This window comes from Homo sapiens, chromosome 5, assembly GCF_000001405.40.
Source record: "Homo sapiens chromosome 5, GRCh38.p14 Primary Assembly".
Classification (NCBI taxonomy): domain Eukaryota; kingdom Metazoa; phylum Chordata; class Mammalia; order Primates; family Hominidae; genus Homo; species Homo sapiens.
The window spans coordinates 66,328,012-66,335,883 of record NC_000005.10 but is presented as its reverse complement, the minus strand read 5'-3'; the positions used below and the strand labels follow the sequence as shown (position 1 = coordinate 66,335,883).

General features: G+C 45.6%; 1 annotated feature.

The window, feature by feature from the left end:
* Positions 6,005-7,204: an enhancer, noted in NCBI's record as "P300/CBP strongly-dependent group 1 enhancer chr5:65624508-65625707 (GRCh37/hg19 assembly coordinates)". NCBI's record gives its function as "activates an origin of replication core promoter dependent on BRD2, BRD4, P300/CBP, MED14 and CDK7 cofactors, with strong dependence on P300/CBP, by STARR-seq in HCT116 cells {active_cell/tissue: HCT116}" and the evidence as "EXISTENCE:reporter gene assay evidence [ECO:0000049][PMID:35650434]".

The following is a 7,872-nucleotide window of genomic DNA, read 5'->3' as shown; positions in this document are numbered from 1 at the left end:
TCCAATTAAATGTCTTTCTTTTGTAAATTGCCCAGTTTTGGGTATGTCTTTATCAGCAGCGTGAAAAAGGACTAACACATATAAGCCAAGAAACACCTGTACATGTGTTTCTTGCTTTAGAAAGCAGGAAGGCAATTAGGCTTTATTTTACATGAATCTACAATGTTGGTGAAACCTGCTCTTCCAACATCCTGCGGGCTCCTGGAATGGACTCTGATTAGGCATAAAATGAGGCATAGCCACACACAATGACTTTATCTGGAATACTGCTCACCTCCATGTCCCTCCTACCCTGCAAGAATGGGAAGTAGACTCATTAGCATCATTTAAAAATGGTCTCCTGGCTGGGTGCAGTGTCTCATGCCTGTAACCCCAGCACTTTGGGAGGCCGAGGCAGGTGGATCACGAGATCAGGAGATCGAGACCATCCTGGCTAACACAGTGAAACCCTGTCTCTACTAAAAATACAAGAAATTAGCCAGGCATGGTGGCGGGCACCTGTGGTCCCAGCTACTCAGGAGGCTGAGGCAGGAGAATGGCGTGAACCCGGGAGGCGGAGATTGCAGTGAGCCGAGATTGCGCCACTGCATTCCAGCCTGGGCGACAGAACGAGACTCCGTCTCAAAAGTAAAAATAAAAATAAAAATGGTCTCCTTGCTTATGTGTTCACTTGCTCTTTCCTCTCTTTCCTGGAGAGATGATAGCAATTGCACTTACCTTCTGTTTGGGAGGGGCTTTTGGAAAGCTGAGGGGGTCAGGGTGAAGCCTGGGGGAAAGGGAGCAAAGAACTAGCTGATGGGGACCTGCTGTGGCTGAGTCTTTGGGAAAAGAGGGTAGAGCAAATTGCTTAAGTTTCTGCATGATCAGCCCAGCTCCCCAGGGCAGGAGAGGAGATAGGTTTAGTCAGAGAACCCACCCAGGACAATGCGGTTGGCTGGAATTAGGTCAGTGCCTATGAGAGGCAGGAAGATGTGCAAATCGAGCCCAAGCAAGGGAACCCTCAACATCAATGGAGGTCCATAATCCAGGAAACCCCTAATATGCAGCAGTTATCTTTATTTTAGGATGCTCAGAAATAGACAGGATGGTACCACAGCCAGGTGAACAGAGTGCTACCTGGGAGTCAAGATCCCTAAATCTCTCTTTCAAGTTTCACGTCTGACTGGTTCTCTTATCATAAGAAAAAGTATTGAGAGCCTGCTACATGTGAGGCCCTGCAGATGACACAGAAATTAACAAGACACAATTGCATCCTCAAAGAAAAGGTACGGAATAGAAAGAGTATGGGTTTTTGAAGCCATCCTGATCATGGTTCTGTCATTTACAAATTATGTGGCCTTAGCCAAATTACTTTGTGTCTCTGACCATATGTTTTCTTATTTGTAAAATGGGGGTAAAAATACCACTAAGCATTTCTGAAAGGATTAGAGATAATATTATTCACCATGGAGAACCTCAGACTTACTAGCTGCTAATAGCAGAGCAAGGAGGTAATGCCGAACAAACAGTGAGTTTGCAACCAGAGCAAAGCAGGCTTAATGCTAATAGGTCAAGGAAAGAGTAAAAAGGGAATGCATCAGAGAGGAGCTGACTGAAAATACTTTCCCAAAACGTTACAACTGGTCTACCTTTAAAGTGGAAATATGCACAGGCAATGACTCCTACCCAGGGCCATGTAACCCGACTTGTTGCACTAAGCCTTGCACTTAGAAGAGTTTGTGATTAGTTTAATGATCTGCCATCACCATCTTGAAAGTCTGTAATTTTTCCACAAGGGATTCAGCATTTGCATTTTAACTGGGCCCTGAAAATTATGGAGCCAGCCCTGCTCCCACTTATTGAGACTGATGGGGCTTTGTTGGTGAGCTACCTCCCCTGAGGCAGCCCACCTCCTTCTCCGAGGTTCCTGAGCTGGTCAGACCCAGATGCCTTGCTAATATCTCTGTTTGTGGACACACTCAGCATGCTAGGCTCTCCTTCTCAACCTCCAGACTTTCTAATGCACATGATCTGCCCAGCTTCTCTGCAGGGAACTGAGTAGTAAAACTACACCAGCTCATCACTCTCAATACACACAGGAATGTTTCCCTCCATGAAAATCATTTCCAGCATTCAAGAAGTCTACCTGGCAAAAACCATTCCTGCCATCAGCCCAATACACCTTTCCTTTAACAGCCCAATATACCTTTCATTCAACGAACATTTATTGAGCACCTACTATATACACAGGAAAACCCCACCTGGAACTGACAGGTGCTTGACTAAAGCAAACAAAGCTAAAGGAACAAAGTCCCCCAGGACCTAGAGGAGATAAATCTTTGGGCGATTTGACCTGGGAAACTTTTGCCTGGAAGATAGAGCAAATTCTGGGAGCAGGGATGGGAGTGTGGAGGTAGGGCTATGTTACCTCTGGCTCCAGCAGCTGGTGCGAGGCAGCTGAATGAGATGCTGCAAACCCTGGCATATTTCCCTGCCTGCTATTAATAAGTTCCTAGCTGACTGTGAGTTTCATTACTACTGACTGTTCTGCATCCATGGGCACCATCCTCAGGGATGTCAGCACCATCCCAGTGGTATGCAGTGGGGGTAGACTATCTGCCGCCTTTGGCCTGGACTCAGTTTCACTAAAGGAAAGAGTTTGAGGTGGTCCAAGAACCCTAGGTGTTTGCAGGCACAAAAGCAGCAAGGCCTGCAGAGAAGCCAGACAGTGGGTAGAGGACACAGCAACAAAATATCAATTCCTGCTGACTAACCTCTCTTCTATTCCTCAGCTTCCCTGCTCCATGAGAAGCTAGACCTGAAGTAGAAAACGTCCCAGAAGTTGATCTATAGGGTGTGCCAAGAAAAGATTCCCCATTCTTCAGAATCAGTGAACTGTAAGCCATAAGCTGTGAGATTAAAAATAGCTACATCCATCTCAGGAGAAAGGGAGAACAGAAGCAGTGAGGGAAGGGCCCAACCCTTCCCAATAAGCTTCAAGCCAGGGATTCTCGGCGTTTTTAAAAATCCATGCCCCTTTGTCATAAATATGAACACATTCTACTCTCTTTTAGAGTTGTATACATTTTCAGGAAATTAAGTATATCAACTTCAATTAAACAAAAGGCATAATGGTGATCCAAGTATACACTTTTTGAACTAAGCTTGCTATTTCTTCCTACCTCCCCAGTTTTCCTATCCTACTGCCTGAGATTCTTACATCTCCTTTAATAAATCCTGTAATGAGGATATTCCCTTTTGCCCCCTTGTATCAGTTGATTCTCACTCTGCTATAAAGAAGTACCTGAGACTGGGTAATTTATAAAGAAAACAGGTTTAATTGACTCAGAGTTCTGCATGACAGGAGAGGCCTCAGGAAACTTATAATCATAGTGGAAGGCGTCTCTTCACAAGAAGACAGGAGAGAGAATAAGTGCCCAGTGAAGAGCGAAGCCCCTTATAAAACCATCAGATCTCATGAGAACTAACTCACTATGATAAGAACAGCAGCACAGGGGTAACTGACCCCATGATTCAATCACCTCCCACTGGGTCCCTCCCATGACACATGGGGATTATAGGAACTACAATTCAACATGACATTTGGGTGGGGACACAGCCAAACCATACCATTCCACCCCAAGCCCCTCCCAAATCTCATGTCCTCACATTTCAAAACATAATTATGCCCTTCCAGCATTCCCCCAAAATCTTCACTCATTCTAACATTAAACTGAAAGTCCAAGTCCAAAGTCTCATCTGAAACAAGGCAAGTCCCTTCCACCTAAGAGCCTGTAAAATCAAAAGCAAGTTAGTTACTTCCTAGATACAATGGAGGTACAGGCATTGGATAAATACACCCATTCCAAATGGGAGTAATTAGCCAAAATGAAGGGGCTACAGTCCCCATGCAAGTCCAAAATCCAAAGAGGCAGTAATTAAAGCTCTGAAATAATCTCCTTTGACTCCATCTCTCACATCCAGATCATGTGGATGCTCTCATATGGTGGGCTCCCACGTGGTGGGCTCCCATGGCCTTGAGCAGCTCCATCCCCCTGGCTTTGCAGGGTACATGCCCCTCCTGGCTGCTTTCACAGGCTGGCATTGAGTGTCTGCAGCTTTTCCAGGAGCATGGTGCTAGTAGTTGGTGGATCTACCATACTGGGGTCTGGAGGACGGTGGCCCTCTTCTCACAGCTCCACTAGCCAGTGGCCCAGTGGTGACTCTGTGTGGGGACTCGACCCCACATTTCCCTTCCACACTGCCATAGCCGAGGTTCTCCACGAGGGCTCTTCCCCTCCAGCAAACTGCTGCCTGGATATCCAAGAATTTCCATACATCCTCTGAAATCTAGGTGGAGGTTCCCAAAACTCAGTTGTTGACTTCTGTGTACCCACAGGCTCAACACCATGTGGAAGCTGCCACGGCTTGGGGCTTGAACCATCTGAAGCCATGGCCCAAGCTGTACCTTGGCCTGTTTTAGCCATAGCTGAAGCAGCTGGGACACAGAGCACCAAGTCCCTAGGCTGCACACAGCAGTGGGTGCCTGGGCCTGGAAACCATTTTTAGCTCCTAGGCCTCTGGGCCTGTGATGGGAGGGGCTGCAGTGAAGGTCTCTGACATTTCTTGGAGATATTTTCCACATTGTCTTGATGATTAATATTCACCTCCTTGTTACTTATGCAAATTTCTGCAGCAGGCTTGAATTTCTCCCCAGAAAATGGGTTTTTCTTTTCTATTGCATCATTAGGCAGCAAATTTTCCCAAATCTCATGCTCTGTCACCTCTTGAATGCTTTGCTGCTTAGAAATGTCTTCCAACAGCTACCCTATGTCATCTCTCTCAAGTTCAAAGTTTCACAAATCTCTAGGGCAGGGGCCAAATGCTACCAGGCTTGTTGCTAAGGCATAGCAAGAGTCGCCTTTGCTCTAGTTCCCAACAAGTTCCTCATCTCCATCTGAGACCACCTCAGCCTGGACTTCATTGTCTATCACTATCAGCATTTTAGTCAAAGCCATTCAACAAGTCTCTAGGCAGTTCCAAAGTTTCCCACATCTTCCTGTCTTCTTCTGAGCCCTCCAAGCTGGTCCAACCTCTGCCTGTTACCCAGTTCCAAAGTCATTTCCACATTTTCGGGTGTCCTTATAGCAACACATTACTTCCTCGGTACAAATTTACTGTATTAGTCCATTCTCACGCTGCTATAAAGAAATACCTGAGACTGGGTAATTTATAAAGAAAACAGGTTTAATTGACTCACAGTTCCACATGGCTGGAGAGGCCTCAGGAAACTTATAATCATGGTGGAAGGCACTTCTTCACAGGAGAGCAGGAGAGAGAATGAGTGCCCAGTGAAGGGGGCAGCCCCTTATAAAACCATCGATCTTGTGAGAACCCACTCACTATCACAAGAACAGCAGCATGGGGGCAACTGCCCCCATGATTCAATTACCTCCCACTGGGTCCCTCCCATGACATGTGGGGATTATGGGAACTACAATTCAGGATGAGATTTCAGTGAGGACACAGCCAAACCATATCACCCTTCATTGAAATGTTTCACTATAAACTACTTTAGATTGTGACCTTCTTGAGGCTCTGCCTTAATCTTCCTGGATCTTCTTAAGTCTTCTTTGAGTCTCTGACTACTTACAGAGGGGTGGGGCTCAGGAAGAGAAGAGAGATTCCTCAGCAGGAAACTGCAACTCACAGGTCCTATTTCCCTGCCTAGTTCATTGCCTACGAAAAAGTCATTGCTCAGTGCATGCTGATAAATGATTGATGTGAGGATGGATGGATGGATGGATGGATGGATGGATGGATGGATGGAGATCAGGAATGCCAGATCATTATCTACTCTTCTTTAGGACCAAAATTAATTCTATGCTGTGGCCTTGGGCCTTAGCGGGGCCATGATCTTTGAGAAAATGAGAGGTGCAGACTATTCTAAGGAGTAGACAGATCCCTGAAGAGGACAGGCAAGTCTTTTCCAACCTAGTTCCCCTATACTTCTTGGGGAAAGAAGCTTTCCAGGTCAGACTGTTCCCACCTGGGCAAAGTTCCCCAACCTTTGGGCAGCCACAAATGGTCACTAGGCACAGAGCAGGCCAGACTGTGCCAAAAAAATCATTCAAGAAGGCTCAGAAAACTCCTAACTGCCACATGCAGGAAAGCCCAGTGCTATGTTCCTCTTGGCTTACAGAGAGAAGAAAGAGGCCAGGCCATAGCACATGTTGACAAATCAGAAGACATCCAAAGGAGCTCAGAGAAATCTAGAAGTATGTTCTATGATCAACAAGGGGATGAACTGAAGAGATTTAGCCTGAAAAAGAAAACAATGGGGGAAGAGTAAGGTGGGGGCTGAATAGCTCTCTTTGGAATGACAGTATGTTGAAAGTCAATATAATTGTTTAGCTCTAGAGAGGAGAACTATGGCCAAGAGGAGGCATATTTAATTTCATGCAAGGAAGCAGCCTCTAACAATTAACGTCAGCCCACAGTGGGTTGTTGAAGCCTATCACTGTTAAGAGATTCGTTAGTTTCCTGTCAATGCACGAACTGAAACAGAAGCTACAGGATTATCTGTTTGAGCTGTTGTGTGAGGGATTCCTGCAGTGGGAGGAAGGTGGGGCTAGGTGATTCAAGGTATTTTCCATGATTCATTTGTTTAGATGAGGCACCCATGCCATCCTCACCTCACCTCACCCACACCTACTGAGACTCTGAAATCAAGCTTTAATTCAAGGGTTTGACTACCAACTCAATTCCCCACATAGACTTTATGGATCTTAAAACTCCTAAGTTTATTAATGGAAAATTCTGATATCTTCCCCAGGGATGTGTAGATCCAAATGGGAGCCAGCCCCTTTCTTCCTTAAAGGGACACACTTACCAAGGGATGGTAAAAACCTTCACTTACAAAGTCCTCTTCAAACTCTGTCTCTGAGTTTCTCAGTTTTTCTCTCCTTTCTCCACACCCACACCCAGAGTAATTCCCAGCGTGTGCTTTGGAAAGGTTAATCTTGGGTCTCCATACTCTATAGCTCCATCATTGTAGGACAATCAAGTGTCCTTTCAGTTCAGCCCTGGAAAACAACTCACAGTAGTGTCCCTGCTTATTGAATTAGTCAACCTGTCCAAGATCTGAGCTCTTTTACGGAAGTAATCCACAGCCCTTTAATCAGTAACACCAGGAATTATGCTGAGGAATACTCATACCCTTCTATCACCAACCAGGCATCACGCTTCTCATCTTCTCTCAACCTCCATTGTGCTATGCTCTGAGTAGGACACACAACCAGTGCCCACTCCGACCACCACCCAACTGAGTATTGTACCAATGAACCCTTCACCTTCTCCTCAGGAGTCTTAGTCAGTTTTGTGCTGGTTTAACAAAATACCTGGAATTAGGTAACTTATAAAGAACAAACTTATTTCTCATGGTTCTAGAGCCTGGGAAGTCCCAGTTCAAAGGGCCAGCTGGTGAGGGCCCTATCTCTCTTCTAAGATGGTGCCTTGTTGCTGTGTCCTCCTGAGGGGAAGAATGCTGCATCCTCCCATGTGGAAGGCAGAAGGGCAAGAAAGCCAAACACTGCTGCATGAGGCCTCTTTTATAAGGGCTTTAATCCCATTTATGTGGGAGGAGCCCTGCTGGCCTAATCACTTCTTCAAGACCTCATCTCTTAATTCTGTCACATTGGCCATTAAGTTTCAATACCTGAATTTTGGAGGAGACACATTCAAATTACAACTTCAGGTATGTAAGGAAATTGGCAATAACCTAAAATTTTAAAATTTCTCCTTATATACCCACTCTACCTACACTGGATAGAGGAGTACATGCAAATTAGGTGCCAGGCACTGTCCAGAAAGTCCCAAAGTTTACTTTCAAAC